The 15,298-nt window shown below is 35.9% G+C and overlaps 1 protein-coding gene across 7 annotated transcripts in view, besides 1 other annotated feature; it reads right to left on the reverse strand.

The window, feature by feature from the left end:
- Positions 1 to 15,298, reverse strand: part of INTS7 (integrator complex subunit 7) — a 95,155-nt gene that overhangs the window by 32,827 nt on the left and 47,030 nt on the right. For 5 of the 7 annotated variants that reach the window (NR_037667.2, NM_001199809.2, NM_001199811.2 and 2 more), the window contains 6 exons: positions 14,657 to 14,774; positions 9,447 to 9,581; positions 7,864 to 7,961; positions 5,043 to 5,282; positions 3,353 to 3,490; positions 1,937 to 2,143 (listed from right to left, as the gene is read on the reverse strand). Coding sequence is in view for 6 of the 7 variants with exons in the window: in NM_001199809.2 (NP_001186738.1) it covers positions 1,937 to 2,143; positions 3,353 to 3,490; positions 5,043 to 5,282; positions 7,864 to 7,961; positions 9,447 to 9,581; positions 14,657 to 14,774 (936 nt within the window). In the remaining variant the exon portion in view is untranslated. Of the gene's footprint in view, positions 1 to 1,936; positions 2,144 to 3,352; positions 3,491 to 3,602; positions 4,316 to 5,042; positions 5,283 to 7,863; positions 7,962 to 9,446; positions 9,582 to 14,656; positions 14,775 to 15,298 lie in introns of those variants that run through there. The other 2 variants (XM_047417179.1, XM_017000962.2) reach the window with 2 other exon arrangements.
- Positions 2,960 to 3,189: an enhancer, noted in NCBI's record as "active region_2494". NCBI's record gives its function as "activates an Ori minimal core promoter by ATAC-STARR-seq in GM12878 lymphoblastoid cells {active_cell/tissue: GM12878}" and the evidence as "EXISTENCE:reporter gene assay evidence [ECO:0000049][PMID:35858748]".

Below are 15,298 nucleotides of genomic sequence, written 5' to 3' on the forward strand. Positions count from 1 at the left end.
GCCCCCACGCCTGGCCTATGCCTGGACTTTTCTGACCCACAGAAACTGTGAAATAATAAATAGGTATTGTTTTAAGCCACTAAACTTGTAGTAATTTGTTACACAGCACAGAAAGCTAATATAAACACTTTTTATAATTTTTATTCCTAAGAAATAAGACAACTCTATCATTAATCATTGTATTGAGAAATTAAACACCTAACTTTGCTATCGGGTCTCCATAAACAAAGAATTTTGAACTTCTCCTGTTTAGTGTGGCTGAAGCAGATAAAAAGCATGATCCTCAAAGCTGTACGATCTCAGGTATGGATCATTCACATCAGTAAGTTAAAAGGGGCAGCCCATGCTCATATTTACTCAGTTAAAAAGATAGAAAGCAATTGTCAAATCCACACTTACCAAATGAACAGGTTAAAAAATAAAAATAAAAAAAGTCCTCAAAAAAACCCTGAGAGTATACAGTACAATCAGAGTTCTGGGAAGTTTCCAACAACTCTGAGGATCATACTGCCTTCCCCTGTAGACTACACTCAAGTGAAGAATTATTTCCTGTTTTTCTTAATCCTAAAAACAGTGTTTGACACATACCAAGTGTTTATGATCTGTTGAATAAAATAACTCCATTTCAAAAGGAGAATATCTGAGGCCCAATGACCCACCCAAAGTCACGCTGTGTTAATGGCAGAACCAAGACTAAGACAAGGTCTCCTCTCTGTCAATCAAGTGCTTTCTTCCTGTATCAGAATTCAATCCTTAATTATTGTCAAGCCTCATTAAATACACATACCACACAAATCATTAAACAAGTATCAAATATTCAACAGAATTTTTCATAAAATTAATTCCATCTGCCTCACACTGTTTTGTAAGCCTGTCTGTTCAAAGTTCTTACCATTTATGGTACTAAATAATTACCAATTTTCTGCTCCACATAAACTAGAAAATGAAATAGTTCTATTGATCTCAACCAGTAATTATATTTTTTAATTTTCTGAGGCATTTATTAGCCTAATATAGGAAACAACAATCTCTTCCCAGAAAAAAAAAATATATATATATATATATATATATATATATATAAAATACTTCAAAATATATGTGCCTCACAGTAGTCTGAATATTCTCTTTAGTGACACCTGTTTTTTCTACTTTGAAACATTTCTTTTGAGATAGGCCACCATTCAAAATATTTTAGATATGTTATAAATGTACGTAAACAGGTACCAAAAGTTTTATGGTCCCATCTCAATATATACAATTTTTAAAGTCATGTGACAGTATTTTTAAAATGTTTAACGTTGATTATATAACTTCTTTACTTTTAAAGGGAAAAAGCCCTTGCATTAATACAAAAAATGCTGATTTTAGGGAATAGGTTCCTACTTAGGAATATAACTAATTTCAAGGAAACATAAGGATCTCTTTGCAACCCTTTCATTTTCTTGGCAGAGATAACAGAAATTGTAGCTAGCTAATGGTTAATGTGGAGTAGGAGGATACCACAGAGAGATACAAAGTGGGACACTAGAATCTTCGATAATTTCTCTTTATCTATAAAGCAAGAAACTTTAGTTACTTAGTCAGTAGCTGCCAGGTATGAGATGAGGTCAGGGGTTTATGTTTGATGGTGGTACTGATGCACACAGGCTGGAATCTTAGTCTGTAGAGGGAGCATCCTGTCTACACACCACTTACCCATTCTGCATGGATTCAGCAATCCTCTTCACATGTGGTACCCAGTTATTTTTAACAAGAAAGTGATAAACTTTTATCAATCTAAGAATGTTAAAAAGGGGAAAAGGTTAAGGGTTTATTTCCATGACCTATTTCATATCAGCAGGTTTCTCAAGTTAGTTGAAATAGGACAATCCAAAAAGAGAAGGGAGAGAACTCTCACATAAATCATCACCACCAAAGGTGAATTAAGAGGACTTACTGTTAAGGAAGCAATCCCTTTGTGATAGAATTTTAAAGATTCAGCAATGCAAGAAAGTGCTGAACTATAATTTTCCTCTTGCAACCCAGTGAGACACTGTTCTGCATGTGAAAACTCCTTCAAACTATTTAGCCAGAAGTAGAAATGTTCTGAGGCAACCTGAGTCAGCAAACTCTGATAAAGCTCTTTGGCCATGTCATGATTACCCTAAAAACAAAAAAAGAAAAGAAAAAAGAATAGAAGGAGCACACGGTGAGGTTCTTACATTTGAAAGAGTTGATGCAGCAGCTAAAAGAGAAACCCAAACCTTGGATAAGTCTGAACAATCATTCCTCATATTATGTAATTCGCTGAGACTCTGTCTAAATATTTCCTCAGAGAAAATATGCTGAGTTGCTTTTATGTAACATAATGCTTGAAATTCTTTACTAAAACAGTTCCGAAAGAGAAAATAAATGGAATCAACTATAAACCAAGTCTAGAACTTTAGCCCAAAATACAGGAAGTATAAATACTTTTTTATGTTATTCTAGATGAACTATTTAGTGGGTGAGAGAAACCCCAGGGGAGAAGGCATAGTTGCAGGGAGAAATGTGAATACCATTTAATGCCTGGGGCCAGGGATACTCAATGTCCTGCAGTGCTTGGGACAGAACAGTATAATGAAGAATTGTCCTGCCAAGAGTGTGTGCTTCTCCCCCATTTGAGAAGCAACATAAAATTAAGAACATGCACTTCAATCACCTAGAGTAATGCTTCCTCAAACTTTGGTCTCTGGACTTATCCCCAAGGTTTTTTTTTTTAATTTATTTTTAGTAGAGACAGGCTTTTACTATGTCAGCCAGGCTGGTCTCAAACTCCTGGCCTCAAGAGATTTGTCCGCCTTGGCCTCTCACAAAGTACTGGGATTACATGCGTGAGCCACCCCACCCGGCCAGGATTTCTGTACTAACCAAGGTTTCTATTTCCTCTCAAACAAAATTAATAAAACTTGTTAGGCTTTCCATATGGCTGAGAAGAGTACAGCATACTAAAGCTTTCCCATTTCTACTTAAGAATGACAAGACTGGGGAGAGGAACAAAGATGTGGTATACTGAGAAAGGAAGATAGAAACAGCGGGTGGTAGGTGGCCTTGGTTATAACAATACAGAGCAAAATGAAAGTGGCACTAACAACCTACAGCCAGAAAGGGTCCAGATTTTAACTTCCTCATTACTAATGCCAACAACATAGATACCATTCTTTTATGATAAAAGTTAAAAATCAGGTCCTTTCCTTCCTCATCTTCAGAACCCATGACTAAAAGGTACTTCCATCTTTATTTTTAGTTTTGACTACAACTAATAATCATACAATTGAAGATACATGATCTGACATTTCCAGCAACCCAGTTCACTCAGAAGGGTAACACATACCATTCTGGAAGCCTGTCTGGCAATACGGTATACAGTCCATCCATTGGAGACACTTTCAAGCTGCTGCTTAATTACTGCCTTACTTTCCACAGACAATGCCTTCTGACTTGCAACAAAAATCACAGTAGCCAAACTCACCTAACATTGGGCAAGAAGAAAACCAAGAAAATCATTTAATTTTATTCAGTGTCATTGATAACCTACCCCAAAGGGAGGAAAACTAATTAGAGCCCACTGCAAAAGAACAAAATTTGTTTTCCAATGACATTTATTTAATTTTTTATTTTGAAGTCATTAATTTATTCCATTCACTCAGGGCACTCTTTATAACAGCAAAGAAGTAGAAGCAATACCCATAATATGAATAAATTATATAACATAATCAAACAATGAGATACGTAAATAAAATGGATAAACTAGCGACAGACTTACCAACATAGATGACAAGCAAAATACGCAAAAATATGCAAAATGCAAAAGATTACAAGTAGTATGATAAAGTTTACATAAAATTAAAAATATGCAAAATACTGCATATTACTTAGGGATATACACTTTGGTAGTAAAAGAATAACAGGCATGAGAATGATAAATACCAAATTCAGGATAGTGGTTACCTGAGAGAAGGGAGGAGATGCTATCAGCAAGGTAAACAGGGGGCTTCAACTAAACTGTTAATACCTTTTTCTTAAGCTAGATAATGAATGCAAGAGTTTTCACTGTATTATTCCTCAGATTTTTTGAATATTATGTTTCATAATTTAAGACAATCTTAAGGTAGTACTCACAAAAAAGATATCAGGACCGTTAGTTCAAAATGCCACTTCAATAAAAAATAAACTTAGCTAACTGCCTCTTAATATTTCAAAGCTGATTCATATAAAGATCCATACATTTGGTCATCAAGGTAACCTTTTCTGGCAGCAAATGATGGGATGGGGTCAATCTTTTACACAATTCCCTCTGGAGGATTAAACATAAAACAGGCTTGAATAAATTATTTCATTATATTTTTTCCCACATTCTAAATTAAGATGAACAGAACAATATGGAATGGCAACCTTACAACTTTCATTTAATTTACAATTATTTAGAATGTAGCCTACTCTCAGTCCTGCAGAACTTTTCAACTAAACATTTTATAGCTTCCACAGCTTCTGTTTCTTTCTAAGCATGTACCTTTCCCAACCTCAAGGGTCTACAGAAGCCTAAACTGGATCCTAAACAGCTAAAGAGGTCCTGGAATGGAAAACATAAATTTGGGCTAATTTATGGTCATTATTATCATTAGATTTTTAACTTCTATTTTCTAAAGTACAAAACAGGGTTTAGTTCATTATTTACTCTGTATAAGAAAGATAAAAATTTCATTTTCATTCTGTCCTTTGCAATAAAAAAAAACATGAGATTGAAGGCTTTGGCTATACTAGGCTGATTTGACAGGGTTTCGGAAGAAAGCAGTTTTAGAGGTGAACAAAACACGGCTTTCTAAATCAAAAGTGAAAAAAGTAAAAAGCTCATAAAGCCAATTCTATTTTGACATCAGCACACTCTTTGGTCTTAGGTAATGAATTTAACCTATTGTTTGTTCTGTTTTTTAAGTAAAGTCAAATAGTAATGTTGACTTAAAAGTAATTCCCACTAGACCAGATCCTAGTCATTCAAAGGAGATTCAAAATGGGCTTTTTACCAGAAGTTCTTGTTGCTTGTCTGTGGCTGATCGTCCAATCACCTTGTACAGCTCCATGAGGTCACCAAGCATCCCATCACCCAGCACCGGCAGTTGCATGGCAATGGCTGCCAGGCAATGGCACATCAAAATCCGGGCAGCGTCTTGAGCACTGTGCAATTGAGTCAACAAGGTCTCAACTACTGACTGGCTAAGATGGGGCCTGCCCTTGGCCAACTTCACCATACAGTTTAGAGCAATCTGCACGCCAAAAAGAAAATGAACTAGTTACATTTTGAAGATACAGATGAAGCTTTAAGGAAAAGAGCTTTGTACAGGTTACTGGGGAAACTCAAGGGTGAGGTTTCTTGTAGGCATAACATTTTACTTCATAAGAAATATGAGGTACTGAATCTCACATTAGGGTTTGTGAAGTGCACTACGTTTAAAATAACAAATTAGGACTGCACGTCAACCACTCATTTCAATCTAAGACTATTAAAATACTTTTAAGAAAGATGGAAATCATAAGGAATAATGCTGAAGAGGCAAATATAGGCCAAATGTCACCATCACTGTATTATCATTACTTTTCAGGAACTGCTTCTGAAGTGTGGCTTGTAAACTATGCCAGCATCTCCCAGAATGAAAATAAAAATATAGATTCCTGAATTAACATACGTGTGTGTGTGTGTTGAGGCTACTGAGGTTTCACAGTTTTAAAAAGACGGCTTAGATGACTCTAAGTACACTGAAGTGGGAAAGAGGTTCCCAATTTTCTCTTATTTCTCAACTGAAATCTAAAAACCAATTTGGCTACAGAATTTCTCTTACCAAGGCCTTCTTAAAGGCATCACTAATATCCAGCCAAAAAACTAGAAACCTAGAAATATTCCCACTTTTACATAGCTAACAGATTCTTTTGTCAAGCCTCCAATATCCACTGTTGGCACTTTTCCATTCTCTCTACCACATCATAAATCTCTTCCTAATTCCAATTTCTTGAAAAGATGGGCCCTTCAATCCATCCTTCACAATGCAGCCATGTAGCCATCAGTGGGGTGTCAGGCACACACATAACTTTAGAGTCTGATAAATGCAAGGGCTGAAGCTCAGCTTGCCCCTTATTAGCTAGGTGGCTTTGAACAAGGTACTTCTCTCTCTCGGCCTTAAGTTTCTGATGTGTATAAGAGGAGAACACATTTCATTATAGGGTTATTGAAGGACTGAAACAAATGTATATATAAGTCTTCAACAAAGATTGGCACATAATAGACATTCAAATAACAATAATAATTACGACAAAGGTTACCATTACTTTAAAATTATATTATCTCCTCATTACCTATAGAATCAAAGCCATAATACCATGTTATTTGATATCCTCTATGACTGAACTACTTTTCCAAATCTCAAATTATTTCACCCAGCCACAGTGGGCTAGTCACCATTCTTCCACCACAACAGGTACATTCTTACTTTCAAGTCTTTTATAACAGCAGTCATTGGGCTCAAACAATCTTTCCTCATTACTGTAATTCGATTCCATCTTTCACAACTCAACTCATATGACATTTATTTAAAGTCTTCCCTAATACCCTTGGTTAAAGTTAATCACTCCCGACTCTGACCTCTCATTAGAACTGCACTTTTTTTGTGAAATATCAGAGAATGTATTGTGTTCCGCTTGGTATTATAGTCCCCTATATAAACATCAGTAGCCTATTCTAGATGGGAAGCTCCTCTATTACAGGAACCTTTCTTGGCCATCTATGTATGTCCCACTGTGCTGAATCCAGCATTTTACTGACACCCACAATTGTTGGAAAAAAGATTTGCTTTTAAAAAAAGTCTTAAATGTACTGTGGTTCCAAGGGGATTCTGAGGATCCCCCTCAGAATGTGTTGCCAAACACATGTTGTCTACTTCCCTTCTCTACTTCTTATTAGCTGTCACTTAATGATGTTACTATCTTTATTGTTCATCACTATGACCATATCACAACTTTCCTTAACCTGCTAAAATGAGCCATGACTTCCTTGAAACCACACCTTAGACAAGCTAACGCCAATGTTTATCTAACAGTTTCTTACTTCTATTAACTATGCTTCTCCTCATTAATTTTGCACCATCACAAATTATATTTCACGTTTCACTCCAAAAAGAGTAGTTTCATTTCACATTTTATTTATTTATTTTTTTTGAGACAGGGTCTCATTCTTTCACATAGGGTAGAGAACAGTGGTGCAATAATGGCTCCCTGCAGCCTCAACCTCTCGGCCTCAAGCAATCCTCTCACCTCAGCCTCATGAGTAGCTAGGACTATAGGTGTGCCCCAATATGTCCAGCTAAATTTTAAAAAATTTTTCTAGAGATGGGGTCTCAGTATGCTGCCCAGGCTGGTCTTGAACTCCTAGGCTCATGCAATCCTTCCACCTTGACCGCCCCAAAATGCTGGGATTATAGGCATGAGAGCCACTGTCCTGGCCTCATTTCACATTTTAAAAATCTTGCATATCTCTAAGATGATTTCTGTAACTAAGTGAAGGTGAAAATTCCTTAAAATATTCTTCCCTTGGCTTATAAACTAGGGCTTATACCACTGGGAAATTAATGAACGCTTATGTTAAATTAATGAACATTTATGAGTCGGCTGCAGTCATGTCATCAGTTTTTTTGTGGTTTTATCAGTTAGATTAAATCAGTGTAGTTTTATCAGTTAGATTTAATCACTTAGATTAAAACTTCTAAGAGTACAGGAGCTATGTCTGCTTAACTTTGCTTTCTATTGCCTAAGACCATCATATATATCTATTACAACTTAATAAATAAAAGTTTTCACCTTTAAAGTGGCCTGAGCACCTGGACTATCATCTTGACTACAAAGTACCAGTAGGGATTCCAGGCCAAAGACAGCATCTTGTTCCAGTGCCAAAAGATCTAGAAGAAAAACAGTAAACTTTATGATGGTCAAGTGATGTGTGTACAAACACACACACATATACATGCATACACACTCTCTTAGAAAAAACATTAAGGAGTTTAAGATATAGGGAATTATTAAATGGATGAACCTAACCTTCCTTGAAAAAGTACATGTGGCATTACTTCTAGAATGTAAAGTCTATCTTCAGACTTTATTTCTACCACTTTATTGAAGTATTTATAAAAATATACACATTAAATCAAGAGCTAAAGCCACAAAGCTATAAATAAAGCAAAACTGAAATAGTGTCACCAGCTTAGCTAAGGAAAATACTAAGAACAGCAAACTATGCAGTATGTGTTAATCTCCCTAATCAGAAATAAATTATGCAGGTCCATTTTTACCTAAGATATAACAGTTTTCAGCTTCTAATGAAAGCTGAACCACTTTTAGGAAATAATAAGGTCTCCACATAACCTTATTACTGTTTTAAGTCTGACCATAAAGAATGAACCTCTTAGATGTCTCATGAAATAGCAGCACTAGAACATCTTTTCACTACCATAGGGTTAAAATTTCTCTGAAGGTTTTAGAAAGTTCTGAATATATTAGTTACCTTTAGGTTAATATATTTCAGTGTTGAGAACATACAGCAGTTTTCTGTGTTACATGGAAGAAAATACTCTTTGTGATGCCAATATAAAACAGGCTTAATTATCCAAATCAGAATCAACTTTCAACTTTAAGAAATGTTTCCTGAGTGCAGGAGCTTGGCAAACAGAGTAAAGGCTAGTGAAGGTCAGGTTGCTAGAAAAAAACAGGTACTAGGAACAAGCAGTGCTGAAGGCTAGGGGGGATAAGAGGAACCACTGAGCTTGTAATCCTTAATGAAGATCAAAATCAGCACTGAAACAGATGGAATATCCAAAATGCATTTCTTGTTCTTGAACACAAGTCAAAAGATGTTAGGTAGACAACAAAATATGTGCATTATTTTCCTTGCATGTCCTCCTTGATTATGCAAGTCAGTTTAATGCCACATATACCTAGAGTAAATTCTGTGAAAATTTAATTCACATTGGTCTGTGAATTCACTTGCCTCTAGGTGAAACTATTTGTTATTTAAGTCCCTGGAGAACCTAAGTAAATTTTCTAGGTTTTTGTATAAGTGAACATACCACCTTATACAAAAGGGGTAGAGTCCTAAGCAATCTTTATCCACCATATATGCACCATATATGCAAAGGTAAGCAGTGGAAGGAAATGGGCAATGCTCCATAAAACCTTTCAATTCCACTCCCAAGGTCTTCATCTCTTTATTATTTTTCACAAGGATAAAGTAGTCTTAAGAACACATGCTCTAAGAACACTTTGAAAGGAGTCAATTTGTAGATCAAGGCACACAGGCTAAAAATAAGGGATTAAAAAAAAATCAAACAGAATTCTGTCCAAGGTCTAAACCAAAGTTTATACGTAATATCAGTCCTGATCAAACTTACCCTTTTCTTGACAAGAAACAGTTATATTAGTTAGGACTCTAACTCCATGAGCTGCAATGCCCCTGTTATTATGGTAACAGCACTCTTGGGCTAATTTGACTAAATCAGAAGATCTGGGAGAAGAACTCACATTTCCTAAAAAAGCAGAGAAAAGTAGTAGAAATTGTAATTCAAATAGTTCAAAAGCAGTTCAGCTCATAGGTTCAATTTTCTTAATTTTTGAGAAAAGTCTCTAACAATAAACTTCAACAAAATTTCCTACCACAATCCCACTATCAATACATATCAGCATTTCTCTCCATTAAGGTACTTGAAATAGGTATGTGCCAACAGTTTCGTAATGACTAAGATCTAAAATCAACGTATAATTTCTTAAAAAATATTAATAAAAATTGACTAACAGTACAAAAGCCAAAACAACTATCCTAAGAGTTCAAATGAATTCTGATTAAAACAGGTATCATTATAGGCCTCTTGTCAGACAAAACCATACTTTCAAGATAGGAGAGAAAAGAGAAAAAAATTTAAATTTGCTTTTTTTTTCCATCTCAGATTGCTGACACACATTTATACCTCATATGAATTCGTGATTGTAGAGCTGGAAAGAATTTTGGGATCATCTGATTTAACACACCCTATTTTTACAGGTGGAATCAAAGCCCAAAGCCCCAAAATTTTAAGAATCTTGCCATTAAGTTCATAAAACTTATCAGTCATGTTCTAATGCCCCTGTTATTATACTCTTCTGCTTTATACCTTAAATTCCATGCTATAGATTGCAGCAATTTTTAAAATTCACATTTGAAATTCTGGAATGCAAGGTTCATGTTGTAACTATTGTAATTTACAGTAGAGAAGCCCTCAGTTATAACTGAATAAGCTTCAAGAAAACAAGGAGATTAGGGCTTGTTCAACTACTTAAAAGAGTCTCCCATTCCTGTCTTCTTTTCCTCTGCTTATTTTTCCATGATTCTCGTCAACTTCAACTTTGTTTCTCATACCAAGGGTGACCGTATTTTTTGAGGCTGAAAGAGACGCTACTAAGAATTACAATAGACATAAACCATGAATATCTGTGGTGACATGGGACCTATGGTCACTTTGTTGATTTCTGGTTTAATATAATACAAGTTTAAGAGAGAGCCTCAGTGTTTTTTGGGTTTTTGTTTGTTTTGTTTTGTTTTTTTTTTGAGACAGAGTCTCACTCTGTTGCCCAGGCTGGAGTGCAGTGGTGCGATCATGGCCTACTACAGATCACAGCTCACTATAGTCTCAAACTCCAGGACTCCAGCGATCCTCCCACCTCAGCTTCCAAGTAGCTGAGAATACAGGTGCATGCCACCATACCTGGCTAATTTTGTTATTTTTTTTTGTAGAGATGGGTCTTGCTTTGTTGCTCAGGCTGGTCTCAAACTCTTGGCTTCAAAAGATCCTCCCATCTTAGCCTCCCAAAGTGTAAGCCACCATGCCTGGCCCCTTCAGTGTTTTTAAGTTAGGCAAAACATTAGAAAGATGAAACTATATCTTTATTTTTTCAAAACTGTGGAAATTGTATTTCCTCTATTCTTTTTGTCCATGTGATATGGACAATGCGGAGTCATCTATAAATTTACAAACATGTTTTATAACTTGTTTTTTCTTTGTTTTATTCCTACCAACACTCACCATAGAAAACTCAGAAAAAAAACCCAGAAAAATCCAAAGAACAATACAAAAATCATACCAAATTTCACAAACCAGCATGACCTTACTGTTAATTTTCTGAAATATTTCTTTTAAATCTTTTTCCCCCTATGTACAACAGTACAATTTAAAAACTCACATATAATCAGGATATGTAGATACTGGCCAATATTCTGCTTTTAAAATCTAATATTTCTGAGCCTTTTCCTATGTTTTCTAGGAATAAGATTATTTTTAATTTAATTTTTATTTATTTAGTAATGATTTTCTAAGATAAACTCACAAGGCTTACAAGGTACAACAAAGAGTAGAAAATGGTAAAAGGCTAGTGAGAGAAAAGTTTTCCTCCCCCACCCAATGTTATCAGCTTCTTGTGTATCATTCCAGAGTCCATAAATTTACAAGCACATTTATTCCTTTCTTTCTTTTTCCTTTTCACATACTGTTTTCCATCTTGTTTTATTTCTCTTTAAATATTGTATCATGGAGACTGCTCCGTGCCATATTTTCTTTTTAGTAAACTGCATTGATTTTTATTGCAGTGATGTGTCATAATTTCTTTGAGTCCTCTATTGATGATCTTTTAATGCTATTACATCCTCTACTAAGAAATAATATTTTGCTATTATATAAAATGGTGCTCAGAATAATCTTGTATATATGCCATTTCTCAATGTGTGACTATGTAAATAAGATAAATTCCTAGAAGTGGAAAGTCTGGGTTATCTGTAATTTAATGAGTATTTCCAAATCATCTATGTACAAGTTTAATAATTTATATTCGCAGCAGTAATGACTGCTTACCCACACCCTTGTCAACACACCATGTTTATCAAACTTCTAAATCCTTGCCAATCTGATGGATTAAAATTATTTCAAGTGTTGTTTTAAGGTGCCTTTTTCTTAAATATGTCTGATATTGAACATCTTATATATTTGAGCCATTTGTTAGTGATGATTTAGACATACTAAATTTAAGTTTGCTTTTTAAACTACTTTTGGCTACATTGAAAAAACATAATAAACGGAAATAAAGATTTACCATTATTTATGGAAATAATGTAACTTTGGAAAATCCTTGATTTTATTTTTTATAAATATTATCTATTTATTTAAGCCTTTGCTTAATTCCATATATAAGCCAAAATTAACAAACTTCAATAAAAGGACAAATACCTAGCTTGAAAAGTGTTTAAGTATTATAACCCAACATAATGCTAATACATGTCTTTGGAATTAAAAAATAAAGAAAAAGAAAGTTATTGTGCATGTAAGTCAGTTTGGTACAAAAAAGAGAATTCTGAGTCAGACCGCTGAGTTCAGGCCTAGGCTCAGACACTTCACAACTATGTGAACTTTGGACATACCGTCAAACCTTTGTGAGTCTCAGTTTCAATACTTATAAACTCCTTTGCATATGCCTCACTTGAAAGGCTACTTGTATGGGAAAGCTCTCATCTATTATATGATTAAGACTTTGTCTATCACAGCTCTTTCAAAGTGCAATGTTGGTGAAGGATGTTAACTGCAAGCTAAGAAACACACTGGGTGATTTATGCAGAAAAAGAATACATTGAAAGCACCCTAGGTATATGGTACGTTGTTTATAAAGAAGGCTGTGATAATTTCTCACATCCCTTGTGGACATGCTCCTTTACCATGTGATCTTCCAATTCCATGTGACTTGCTTTGGCCAATAAAGCATTGGAAAACAGGCTGCAAGCAAAAGGTTGACAAATGCTTTTGTGTTGGTGGCTTGCTTTCTTTTGGCTCCAACCAACATCCTGAAAACAAACCCAAGTTAGCCCACCAAGAGTCACATGGATAAAAACTAAGGTGCCTCAGCAGAAAGCCTTTCAATTTCTAGCATGTGAATGAGGCCGTCTTAGACCATCCAATCCTGGTCATACATGACCATAATCACACAAGTGACCCCAAGTGAGGCCAATAGGACTGCCCACCTGAGTACAGTCAAAATGGTTGATTGACATAATTAGAGCAAATAAAAAGGTCATGGTTTTAAGCTACTCGGTTTGGGGTGATTTTGTTATGTAGCAATAGATAACTGATAATGTACTTCAGAGAATCACTGGAAAGCCTGCAAAACTAATAGAAAAACAAGGTCAGAAAATAAATAAGAAAAACGCCAGGGAGCAACCAAGACCACAGCCCAAAAGACCATGCATGGAATTAGTCCAGTGAGGACACAGCAGCCATTGTTACTGATTATTTCATGTCACAGCTTAACTTCTGTTACAGGGTACCAGACATAGCAAACACCCACTGCTAGAGTATATTCTGGAAACAAATGTTGCTCTGTCATTGCTACATCACCATATCCCCATTCTCTCATATCCCTACTTTCTTGTTGTTACTGGCTCCCAATTCAGTCTGTGGCATGGAAATGATTAGTTGAGTCCAAGCCACATGTAAGCACACTAGCTGGAAGGGAGGTGTGACAACGGAGTATCAGGTCTTTTTAGCTTCCTATTAAGACTTACGTGGCAGGGAATTCCCTACACCTAGAAAGTATCATATACTATGCGGCCATAAAAGGGACAAACAAATGTACATTACAGTTCTTTAATTCAAACTAACTGACTACAAAAGGAAGCAATAGAGGTTCCGCAAAACTTGCATTAAAACAAAACAACCAGCCTGGGCACAGTGGCTCATGCCTGTAACCCCAGCACTTTGAAAGGGCAAGGTGGGTGGATCACTTGAGGCCAGGAGTTTCAGACCAGCTTGGGCTGAATGGTGAAACTCCATCTCTACTAAAAATACAAAAATTAGCCAGCCATGGTGGCGGGCGCCTGTAGTCCCAGCAACTCGGGAGGCTGAGGCAAGAGAATTTCTTGAAACTAGGAGGTGGGGGTTGTAGTAAGCCAAGATCCCCCCACTGCACTCCAGCCTGGGTAACAGAGTGAGACTCTGTCTTAAAACAAAACAACAACAACAACAAAAAAAAACCCAAAATGACAAAAAAGTTTAGCTTTAAGTCTGTTAGGTAAGCAAGCTCCTTACCGGGCATTAATGAAAGCATTTTAGAGTTAATCATCTTGAATAGGTAACTAGGAAAGTGTTATTGGGCTGGAGTCAAGTTTTATTTTAATTGTTTTCCAGAGAAATAATATGCACCTAAAAGGAAGCATATGACATTTGCTTTTAAAACTCACTACTACTTGACCTTTGAAATGTACTTAAATTCAAAGGGCACTTTGAGTCAGAGATACACAAAAGCAAACCAACTATTTTAAGCATCCTCAAAAATATTTTCACCCACATATAATTCAAAAAAAAAAGGACAAACCTAGAAAAATATATTATTGACTTAAGATCAAGGATGCGAGATGTTGTTATCATAGGCATTAGTTAAGAAATCATGTTCAAATAAATCACTAGCATGCAATGGAGTATGAGATTTTTTTCCCTGATGTTAAAGCTTTATAGAAGAAACAACCTGAAACATAAATATGGATAAAGGAGTTAGCACATTATTTATATGGTATCTCCTGTCTTTTCCTTACCTGGAACTATACTGAAGTAATGTTTGATGGCGATGGTCCCTGATAGTGTGGAAAGGACAGACAACATCCCTAGTTTTAAGCTGTCATAAGGAGTCTGGAGGGCACACTCACAAAGTGCCTGGAATGCAGAAGAGAAATGAATATAGAAGTTAAAACATCAATATACTTCTAAACTGTCTACTCCATTTACATTTTCTGGCTTTTAGAAAAATTATATATTAAGGACTTTTTTTCATGTTAAAAAACTTAAATCGAGGCCAGGTGCAGTGGCTCATTCTGGTAATCCCACCAGTTTGGGAGGCTGAGGTGGGAGGATCACTCTAGCTCAGGAGTTTGAGACCAGCCTGGGCTCAAAGTGAGGCCTTGTCTCTACAAAAATTCGAAAAATTAGCTGGGTATGGTGGTACGTGCCTGTGGTCCCAGCTACTTGGGAGGCTGAGGCAGAAGGATCGCTCAAGCCCAGGAGGTCGAGACTGCTATAAACCATGTTCACGCCACTGCACTCCAGCCTGGGGGACAGAGCAAGACCCTGTCTCAAAAAAAAAAAAACAAAAAAAGCACTAGGTCAAACTTCCAAACTCTTTAGGGGAGCCTCAGGAGGCAGGATAACTAAATGTAAACTATGTTGATACATAAAAACGA

This window comes from Homo sapiens, chromosome 1 (genome assembly GCF_000001405.40).
Source record: "Homo sapiens chromosome 1, GRCh38.p14 Primary Assembly".
NCBI lineage: Eukaryota > Metazoa > Chordata > Mammalia > Primates > Hominidae > Homo > Homo sapiens.